The 11368-nt window shown below is 41.7% G+C and overlaps 2 annotated features.

Annotated features, from left to right (window-relative positions):
* Positions 2505 to 3155: an enhancer, noted in NCBI's record as "H3K27ac-H3K4me1 hESC enhancer chr9:108544378-108545028 (GRCh37/hg19 assembly coordinates)". NCBI's record gives its function as "activates a minimal SCP1, AML or CMV promoter by ChIP-STARR-seq in primed H9 embryonic stem cells {active_cell/tissue: H9 hESC(primed)}" and the evidence as "EXISTENCE:reporter gene assay evidence [ECO:0000049][PMID:30033119]".
* Positions 3156 to 3806: an enhancer, noted in NCBI's record as "H3K27ac-H3K4me1 hESC enhancer chr9:108545029-108545679 (GRCh37/hg19 assembly coordinates)". NCBI's record gives its function as "activates a minimal SCP1, AML or CMV promoter by ChIP-STARR-seq in naive H9 embryonic stem cells {active_cell/tissue: H9 hESC(naive)}" and the evidence as "EXISTENCE:reporter gene assay evidence [ECO:0000049][PMID:30033119]".

An 11368-nucleotide genomic window follows, 5' to 3' on the forward strand; every position in this document is an offset into this window, starting at 1 on the left:
CTTTTTCTATTGATTGGAATAGTTTCAGAAGGAATGGTACCAGTTCCTCCTTGCACCTCTGGTAGAATTCGGCTGTGAATCCATCTGGTCCTGGACTCTTTTTGGTTGGTAAACTATTGATTATTGCCACAATTTCAGCTCCTGTTATTGGTCTATTCAGAGATTCAACTTCTTCCTGGTTTAGTCTTGGGAGAGTGTATGTGTCGAGGAATTTATCCATTTCTTCTAGATTTTCTAGTTTATTTGCGTAGAGGTGTTTGTAGTATTCTCTGATGGTAGTTTGTATTTCTGTGGGATCGGTGGTTATATCCCCTTTATCATTTTTTATTGTGTCTATTTGATTCTTCTCTCTTTTTTTCTTCATTAGTCTTGCTAGCGGTCTATCAATTTTGTTGATCCTTTCAAAAAACCAGCTCCTGGATTCATTAATTTTTTGAAGGGTTTTTTGTGTCTCTATTTCCTTCAGTTCTGCTCTGATTTTAGTTATTTCTTGCCTTCTGCTAGCTTTTGAATGTGTTTGGTCTTGCTTTTCTAGTTCTTTTAATTGTGATGTTAGGGTGTCAATTTTGGATCTTTCCTGCTTTCTCTTGTGGGCATTTACTGCTATAAATTTCCCTCTACACACTGCTTTGAATGCGTCCCAGAGATACTGGTATGTTGTGTCTTTGTTCTCGTTGGTTTCAAAGAACATCTTTATTTCTGCCTTCATCTTGTTATGTATCCAGTAGTCATTCAGGAGCAGGTTGTTCAGTTTCCATGTAGTTGAGCGGTTTTGAGTGAGATTCTTAATCCTGAGTTCTAGTTTGATTGCACTGTGGTCTGAGAGATAGTTTGTTATAATCTCTGTTCTTTTACATCTGCTGAGGAGTGCTTTACTTCCAAATATGTGGTCAATTTTGGAATAGGTGTCGTGTGGTGCTGAAAAAAATGTATATTCTGTTGATTTGGGGTGGAGAGTTCTGTAGATGTCTATTAGGTCTGCTTGGTGCAGAGCTGAGTTCAATTCCTGGGTATCCTTGTTGACTTTCTGTCTCATTGATCTGTCTAATGTTGACAGTGGGGTGTTAAAGTCTCCCATTATTAATGTGTGGGAGTCTAAGTCTCTTTGTAGGTCACTCAGGACTTGCTTTATGAATCTGGGTGCTCCTGTATTGGGTGCATATATATTTAGGCTAGTTAGCTCTTCTTGTTGAATTGATCCCTTTACCATTATGTAATGGCCTTCTTTGTCTCTTTTGATCTTTGTTGGTTTAAAGTCTGTTTTATCAGAAACTAGGATTGCAACCCCTGCCTTTTTTAGTTTTCCATTTGCTTGGTAGATCTTCCTCCATCCTTCTATTTTGAGCCTATGTGTGTCTCTGCACGTGAGATGGGTTTCCTGAATACAGCACACTGATGGGTCTTGACTCTTTATCCAATTTGCCAGTCTGTGTCTTTTAATTGGAGCATTTAGTCCATTTACATTTAAAGTTAATATTGTTATGTGTGAATTTGATCCTGTCATTATGATGTTAGCTGGTGATTTTGCTCGTTAGTTGATGCAGTTTCTTCCTAGTCTCGATGGTCTTTACATTTTGGCATGATTTTGCAGCGGCTGGTACCGGTTGTTCCTTTCCACGTTTAGCGCTTCCTTCAGGAGCTCTTTTAGGGCAGGCCTGGTGGTGACAAAATCTCTCAGCATTTGATTGTCTGTGAAGTATTTAATTTCTCCTTCACTTATGAAGCTTAGTTTGGCTGGATATGAAATTCTGGGTTGAAAATTCTTTTCTTTAAGAATGTTGAATATTGGCCCCCACTCTCTTCTGGCTTGTAGGGTTTCTGCCGAGAGATCCGCTGTTAGTCTGATGGGCTTCCCTTTGAGGGTAACCCGACGTTTCTCTCTGGCTGCCCTTAACATTTTTTCCTTCATTTCAACTTTGGTGAATCTGACAATTATGTGTCTTGGAGTTGCTCTTCTCGAGGAGTATCTTTGTGGCGTTCTCTGTATTTCCTGAATCTGAACGTTGGCCTGCCTTGCTAGATTGGGGAAGTTCTCCTGGATAATATCCTGCAGAGCGTTTTCCAACTTGGTTCCATTCTCCCCATCACTTTCAGGTACACCAATCAGACGTAGATTTGGTCTTTTCACATAGTCCCATATTTCTTGGAGGCTTTGCTCATTTCTTTTTATTCTTTTTTCTCTAAACTTCCCTTCTCGCTTCATTTCATTCATTTCATCTTCCATTGCTGATACCCTTTCTTCCAGTTGATCGCATCGGCTCCTGAGGCTTCTGCATTCTTCACGTAGTTCTCGAGCCTTGGTTTTCAGCTGCATCAGCTCCTTTAAGCACTTCTCTGTATTGGTTATTCTAGTTATACATTCTTCTCAATTTTTTTCAAAGTTTTCAACTTCTTTGCCTTTGGTTTGAATGTCCTCCCGTAGCTCAGAGTAATTTGATCTTCTGAAGCCTTCTTCTCTCAGCTCGTCAAAGTCATTCTCCATCCAGCTTTGTTCTGTTGCTGGTGAGGAACTGCGTTCCTTTGGAGGAGGAGAGGCGCTCTGCGTTTTAGAGTTTCCAGTTTTTCTGTTCTGTTTTTTCCCCATGTTTGTGGTTTTATATACTTTTGGTCTTTGATGATGGTGATGTTCAGATGGGTTTTTGGTGTGGCTGTCCTTTCTGTTTGTTAGTTTTCCTTCTAACAGACAGGACCCTCAGCTGCAGGTCTGTTGGAATGCCCTGCCGTGTGAGGTGTCAGTGTGCCCCTGCTGGGGGGTGCCTCCCAGTTAGGCTGCTCGGGGGTCAGGGGTCAGGGACCCACTTGAGGAGGCAGTCTGCCCGTTCTCAGATCTCCATCTGCGTGCTGGGAGAACCACTGCTCTCTTCAAAGCTGTCAGACAGGGACATTTAAGTCTGCAGAGGTTACTGCTGTCTTTTTGTTTGTCTGTGCCCTGCCCCCAGAGGTGGAGCCTACAGAGGCAGGCAGGCCTCCTTGAGCTGTGGTGGGCTCCACCCAGTTCGAGCTTCCGGGCTGCTTTGTTTACCTAAGCAAGCCTGGGCAATGGTGGGCGCCCCTCCCCCAGCCTCGCTGCCGCCTTGCAGTTTGATCTCAGACTGCTGTGCTAGCAATCAGCGAGACTCCGTGGGTGTAGGACCCTCCGAGCCAGGTGTGGGATATAATCTCGTGGTGCGCCGTTTTTTAAGCCTGTCCGAAAAGCTCAATATTCGGGTGGGAGTGACCCGATTTTCCAGGTGCGTCCGTCACCCCTTTCTTTGACTCGGAAAGGGAACTCCCTGACCCTTGTGCTTCCCAAGTGAGGCAGTGCCTCGCCCTGCTTCGGCTCGCGCACGGTGCGCGAACCCACTGTCCAGCACCCACTGTCTGGCACTCCCCAGTGAGATGAACCGGGTACCTCAGATGGAAATGCAGAAATCACCCATCTTCTGTGTAGCTCACTCTGGGAGCTGTAGACCAGAGCTGTTCCTATTCGGCCATCTTGGCTCCTCCAATTTTACTCTGTAGTTTGTAACAGACATACTTCTTAAACAATTTATTTTTTTACAGTTTTTTCTGTTGAGGTAAGGTTTGCATAAATAAAATGCACAAATAGTAAGTGTGCATACCATGAGTTTTGAAAAATGCATACAACTTTATAACCTAAACTTCTACTTAGATATGTTACTAGCACTTCTGGAAGATCCTTTCCAGTTAACTCCCCTACAACTGAACTTAATATAACTGAGTCATGCAATATGTTCTCTTTTGTGTAGATTTCTTTACAACTCAGCATAATGCCTTTGAAATCATCCGTCTTGTTGCATTTATCAGTAGTTCATTCCTTTATAATTGCTTAGTAGTTTTACTCTATGGATATACCACAATTTTTATCCATTGATGTACATCAGTTCTGTTTCTTGTTTGGAGTTATCTGAATAGGTTACTCTGAACATTTTTGTATAAGTCGTTGGTGAACATTTTGGTGAATGATTTATATTCCTTTGGGCACATACCCAGTAATGGGATTGCTGGATTGAATGGTAGTTATAAGTTCTTTGAGAAATCTCCAAACTGCTTTCCACAATGGCTGTAGTAATATACATTCCTACCAGCAGTATGTAAGTGTTCTCTTTTCTCGGCAGCCTCACCAGCATCTGTTATTTTTTTTACTTTTTAATAATTGCCTTTCTTTTTTTTTTTTTTGAGTCGCACTCTGTCACCCAGGCTGGAGTGCAATGGCACAATCTCTGCTCACTGCAACCTCCGCCTCCCGGGTTCAAGCGATTCTCCTGCCTCAGCCTCCCAAGTAGCTGGGATTACAGGGTGTGCCACCACACCTGGCTAATTTTGTATTTTTAATAGAAATGGGGTTCCACCATGTTGGCCAGGCTGGTCTTGAACTTCTGACCTCAGGTGATTCACCCACCTTGGCCTCCCAAAGTGCTGTGATTACAGGCGTGAGCCACCACACCCATCCAATAGTTGCTTTTCTGACTGATGTGAGATGGTATCTCGCTATGGGTTTGATTTCTATTTCTCTAATGGTTAGTGATATTGGGCATTTTTTCATATTTGCCACGTGTTTGTCGTCTTTTGAAAAGTGTTGAGTTCTTTGCCACCACCCTGCACCCCCCCCCCTTTTTTTTTTTTTTGAGACTGAGTCACACTCTGTTGCCCAGGCTGGAGTGCAGTGGTGCAGTGGCACAATTTTTGCTCACTGCAACTTCTGCCTCTCGAGTTCAAGTGATTCTCGTGCCTCAGCCTCCTGAGTAGTTGCGATTTCAGGCATGCACCACCGTGCCTGGCTAATTTTTGTATTTTTAGTAGAGACGGCGTTTCACCATGTTGCCCAGGCTGGTCTTGAACTCCTGGGCTCAAGCAATCCACCCACCTCGGCCTCCCAAAGTGCTGGGATTACAGGTGTGAGCCACCACCAACCCAGTCCTTTGGCCATTTTTTTTTTTTTAAGAGAAATGCTCATTTAATGCCACTGTGTTCCAAACGGAAATCTTAAGTTTTTCTGTAAGCAATGGTGAATCTCCTCATTAATGCCATCAATATATACATACATACATAACATACATACATGCATGCATATATATGTTTCAACTTCTATCTGTATCTGTCATCTAACTATATATATAGATATATAGATATTTTCATTTTAGGTTCAGGAGGTACATGTACATGTTTGATACATTTGTATATTGCATGATGCTGGGGTTTGGGGTATGATTGATCCCATCACCCAGGGTAGTTTTTTAGCATTTGCCCACTTCCAATTCTCCCCTAATAGTCCCCAGTGTCTATTGTTCCCATCTTTGTGTCCATGTGTACCAAATGCTTAGCTCCCACTTATCAGTGAGTATATATATTTGGTTTTCTGTTCCTGTGTTAATTCACTTAGCATAATGACCTCAAGCTGCATCCATGTTACTGCAAAGGACATGATTTCATTCTTTTTTACTGCTTTTTAGTATTCCATGGTGTATATGTACATTTTCTTTTTTTTTAATTACACTTTAAGTTCTAGGGTACATGTGCACAACGTGCAGGTTTGTTACATTTGTATACGTGTGCCATGTTGGTGTGCCGCACCCATTAACTCGTCATTTACATTAGGTATATCTCCTAATGCTTTCCCTCTCCTGTCCCCCAACCCCACAACAGGCCCCAGTGTGTGATGTTCCCCTTCCTGTGTCCAAGTGTTCTCATTGTTCAGTTCCCACCTATGAGTGAGAACATGTGGTGTTTGGTTTTTTGTCCTTGCAAAAGGTTGCTGAGAATGATGGTTTCTAGCTTCATCCATGCCCCTACAGAGGACATGAGCTCATCCTTTTTATGGCTGCATAGTATTCCATGCTGTATATGTGCCACATTTTCTTAATCCAGTCTATCATTGTTGGACATTTGGGTTGGTTCCAAGTCTTTGTTATTGTGAGTAGTGCCGCAGTAAACATACGTGTGCATGTGTCTTTATAGCAGCATGATTTATAATCCTTTGGGTATATACCCAGTAATGGGATCGCTGGGTCAAATGGTATTTCTAGTTCTAGATCCCTGAGGAATCGCCACACTGTCTTCACAATGGTTGAACTAGTTTACAGTCCCACCAACAGTGTAAAAGTGTTCCTATTTCTCCACATCCTCTCCAGCACCTGTTGTTTCCTGACTTTTTAATGATTGCCATTCTAACTGGTGTGAGATGGTATCACATTGTGGTTTTGATTTGCATTTCTCTGATGGCCGGTGATGATGAACATTTTTTCATGTGTCTGTTGGCTGCATAAATGTCTCTTTTGAGAAGTGTCTGTTCATATCCTTTGCATACTTTTTGATGGGGTTGTTTGTTTTTTTCTTGTAAATTTGTTTAAGTTCTTTGTAGATTCTGGATATTAGCCCTTTGTCAGATGAGTAGATTGCAAAATTTTTCTCCCATTCTGTAGGTTGCCTGTTCACTCTGATGGTAGTTTCTTTTGCTGTGCAGAAACTCTTGAGTTTAATTAGATCCCATTTGTCAATTTTGTCTTTTGTTGCCATTGCTTTTGGTGTTTTAGACATGAAGTCCTTGCCCATGCCTATGTCCTGAATGGTATTGCCTAGATTTTCTTCTAGGGTTTTTATGGTTTTAGATCTAACATTTCAGTCTTTAATCCATCTTGAATTAATTTTTGTATAAGGTGTAAGGAAGGGATCCAATTTCAGCTTTCTATGTATGGCTAGCCAGTTTTCCCAGCACCATTAAGTAGGGAATCCTTTCCCCATTTCTTTTTTTTGTCAGGTTTGTCAATGATCAGATAGTTGTAGATGTGTGGTATTATTTCTGAGGGCTCTGTTCTGTTCCATTGGTCTATATCTCTGTTTTGGTACCAGTACCATGCTGTTTTGGTTACTGTAACCTTGTAATATAGTTTGAAGTCAGGTAGCATGATGCCTCCAGCTTTGTTCTTTTGGCTTAGGATTGCCTTGGTGATGCGGGCTCTTTTTTGTTTCCATATGAACTTTAAAGTAGTTTTTTCGAATTCTGTGAAGAAAGTCATTGGTAGCTTGATGGGGATGGCATTGAATCTATACATTACCTTGGGCAGTATGGCCATTTTCACGGTATCCATTCTTCCTGTCCATGAGCCTGGAATGTTCTTTCATTTGTTTGTGTCCTCTTTTATTTCCTTGAGCAGTGGTTTGTAGTTCTCCTTGAAGAGGTCCTTCACATCCCTTGTAAGTTGGATTCCTAGGTATTTTATTCTCTTTGAAGCAATTGTGAATGGCAGTTCACTCATGATTTGGCTCTCTATTTGTCTGTTATTGGTGTATAAGAATGCTTGTGATTTTTGTATGTTGATTTTGTATCCTGAGACTTTGCTGAAGTTGCTTATCAGCTTAAGGAGATTTTGGGCTGAGACAATGGCGTTTTCTAAATATACGGTCATGTCATCTGCAAACAGGAACAATTTGACTTCCTCTTTTCCTAACTGAATACCCTTTATTTCTTTCTCCTGCCTAATTGCCCTGGCCAGAACTTCCAACACTATGTTGAATAGGAGTGGTGAGAGAGGGCATCCCTGTCTTGTGCCAGTTTTCAAAGGGAATGCTTCCAGTTTTTGCCCATTCAGTATGATATTGGCTGTGGGTTTGTTGTCATAAATAGCTCTTATTATTTTGAGATACGTCCCATGAATACCTAATTTATTGAGAGTTTTTAGCATGAAGGGTTGTTGAGTTTTGTCAAAGGCCTTTTCTGCATCTATTGAGATAATCATGTGGTTTTTTGTCTTTGGTTCTGTTTATATGCTGGATTACGTTTATTGATTTACATATGTGGAACCAGCCTTGCATCCCAGGAATGAAGCCCACTTGATCATGGTGGATAAGCTTTTTGATGTGCTTCTGGATTCGGTTTGACAGTATTTTATTGAGAATTTTTGCATCAGCGTTCATCAGAGATGTTGGTCTAAAATTCTCTTTTTTTGTTGTGTCTCTGCCAGGCTTTGGTGTATCAGGATGATGCTGGCCTCAAAAAATGAGTTAGGGAGGATTCCCTCTTTTTCTATTGATTGCTATAGTTTCAGAAGGAATGGTACCAGCTCCTCCTTGTACCTCTGGTAGAATTTGGCTGTGAATCCATCTGGTCCTGGACTTTTTTTGGTTGGTAAGCTATTAATTATTGCCTCAATTTCAGAGCCTGTTATTGGTCTATTCAGGGATTCAAGTTCTTCCTGGTTTAGTCTTGGGAGAGTGTATGTGTCCAGGAATTTATCCAATTCTTCTAGATTTTCTAGTTCATTTGCATAGAGGTGTTTAGAGTATTCTCTGATGGTAGTTTGTATTTCTGTGGGATCGATGGTGATATCCTCTTTATCATTTTTTATTGCATCTATTTGATTCTTCTCTCTTTTTCTTCTTTATTAGTCTTGCTAGCGGTCTATCAATTTTGCTGATCGTTTCAAAAAACCACCTCCTGGATTCATTGATTTTTTGAAGGGTTTTTTATATCTCTGTCTCCTTCAGTTCTGCTCTGATCTTAAGTTATTTCTTGCCTTCTGCTAGCTTTTGAATGTGTTTGCTCTTGCTTCTCTAGTTCTTTTAATTGTGATGTTATGGTGTCAATTTTGGATCTTTCCTGCTTTCTCTTGTGGGCATTTAGTGCTATAAATTTCCCTCTACACACTGCTTTGAGTGAGACCCAGAGATTCTGGTATGTTGTGTCTTTGTTCTCGTTGGTTTCAAAGAACATCTTTATTTCTGCCTTCATTTCATTATGTACCCAGTAGTCATTCAGGAGCAGGTTGTTCAGTTTCCATGTAGTTGAGCGGTTTTTAGTGAGATTCTTAATCCTGAGTTCTAGTTTGATTGCACTGTGGTCTGAGAGACAGTTTCTTATAATTTCTGTTCTTTTACATTTGCTGAGGAGTGCTTTACTTCTAACTGTGTGGTCAATTTTGGAATAAGTGTGATGTGGTGCTGTGAAGAATGTATATTCTGTTGATTTGGGGTGGAGAGTTCTGTAGATGTTTATTAGGTCCGCTTGGTGCAGAGCTGAGTTCAATTCCTGGATATCCTTGTTAACTTTCTGTCTTGTTGATCTGTCTAATGATAACATCTAATGATGTTAAAGTCTCCCATTATTATTGTGTGGGAGTCTAAGTTTCTTTGTAGATCTCTAAGGACTTGCTTTATGAATCTGGGTGCTTCTGTATTGGGTGCATATATATTTAAGATAGTTAGCTCTTCTTGTTGAATTGATCCCTTTACCATTATGTAATGGCCTTCTTTGTCTCTTTTGATCTTTGTTGGTTTAAAGTCTGTTTTATCAGAGACTAGGATTGCAATCCCTGCCTTTTTTTCTTTTCCATTTGCTTGGTAGATCTTCCTCCATCCTTTTATTTTGAGCCTATGTGTATCTCTGCACATGAGATGGGTCTCCTGAATACAGCACACTGATGGGTCTTAACTCTTTGTCCAATTTGCCAGTCTGTGTCTTTTAATTGGAGCATTTAGTCCATTTACATTTAAGGTTAATATTGTTATGTGTGTATATGATACTGTCATTATGATGTTAGCTGGTGATTTTGCTCGTTAGTTGATGCAGTTTCTTCCTAGCATCAATGGTCTTTACAATTTGGCATGTTTTTGCAGTGGCTGGTACTGGTTGTTCCTTTCCACGTTTAGTGCTTCCTTCAGGAGCTCTTTTAGGGCAGGCCTGGTGGTGACAAAATCTCTCAGCATTTGCTTGTCTATAAAGGATTTTATTTCTCCTTCACTTATGAAGCTTAGTTTGGCTGGATATGAAATTCTAGTTTGAAAATTCTTTTCTTTAAGAATGTTGAATATTGGCCCCCACTCTGTTCTGGCTTGTAGAATTTCTGCCGAGAGATCAGCTGTTAGTCTGATGGGCTTCCCTTTGTGGGTAACTCGACGTTTCTCTCTGGCTGCCCTTAACATTTTTTCCTTCATTTCAACTTTGGTGAATCTGACAGTTACGTGTCTTGGAGTTGCTCTTCTCGAGGAATATCTTTGTAGCGTTCTCTGTATTTCCTGAATGTGAATGTTGGCCTGCCTTGCTAGATTGGGGAAGTTCTCCTGGATAATATCCTGCAGAGTGTTTTCCAGCTTGGTTCCATTCTCCCTGTCACTTTCAGGTACACCAATCAGTTGTAGATTTGGTCTTTTCACATAGTCCCATATTTCTTGGAGGCTTTCTTCGTTTCTTTTTACTCTTTTTTCTCTAAACTTCTCTTCTCGCTTCATTTCATTCATTTAATCTTCAATCACTGATACCCTTTCTCCCAGTTGATCAAATCGGCTACTGAAGCTTGCGCATTCGTCATGTAGTTCTTGTGCCATGGTTTTCAGCTCCATCAGGTCATTTAAGGACTTCTCTACACTGGTTATTCTAGTTAGTCTTTCGTCTAATCTTTTTTCAAGGTTTTTAGCTTCTTTGCAATGAGTTCAAACTTCCTCCTTTAGCTTGGAGAAGTTTGATTGTCTGATGCCTTCTCTCAACTCGTCAAAGTCGTTCTCCATCCAGCTTTGTTCCGTTGCTGGCAAGGAGCTGCGTTCCTTTGGAGGGGGAGAGGTGCTCTGATTTTAAGAATTTTCAGCTTTTCTGCTCTGGTTTTTCCCCATCTTTGTGGTTTAATCTACCTTTGGTCTTTGATGATGGTGACGTACAGATGGGGTTTTGGTGTGGATGTCCTTTCTGTTTGTTAGTTTTCCTTCTAACAGTCAGAACCCTCAGCTGCAGGTCTGTTGGAGTTTGCTGGAGGTCCACTCCAGACGCTGTTTGCCTGGGTATCAGCAGCGGAGGCTGCAGAACAACGAATATTGGTGAGCAGCAAATGTTGGTGCCTGATCGTTCCTCTGGAAGCTTCATCTCAGAGGGGTACTCGGCAGTGTGAGGTGTCATTCTGCCCCTACTGGGGTGTTCCTCCCAGTTAGGCTACTCTGGGGTCAGGGACCCACTTGAAGAGGCAGTCTGTCCGTTTTCAGATCTCAAACTCCGTGCTAGGAGTACCACTACTCTCTTCCAAGCTGTGAGACGGGCATTTAAGTGTGCGGAGGTTTCGGCTGCCTTTTGTTCGGCTATGCCCTTTCCCCAGAGGTGGAGTCTACAGAGGCAGGCAGGCCTCCTTGAGCTGCGGTGGGCTCCACCCAGTTCGAGCTTCCAGGCTGCTTTGTTTACCTACTGAAGCTTCAGCCATGGTGGCCGACCTTCTCCTCAGCTTCGCTGCTGCCTTGCAGTTTGATCTCAGACTGCTGTGCTAGCAATGAGCGAGGCTCTATGGGTGTGGGACCCTCTGAGCCATGTGCGGGATATAATCTCCTGGTGTGCTGTTTGCTAAGACCATTGGAAAAGTACAGTATTAGGGTGGAAGTGACCTGATTTTCCAGG

The sequence above is a fragment of the Homo sapiens genome, chromosome 9 (assembly GCF_000001405.40).
Source record: "Homo sapiens chromosome 9, GRCh38.p14 Primary Assembly".
NCBI lineage: Eukaryota > Metazoa > Chordata > Mammalia > Primates > Hominidae > Homo > Homo sapiens.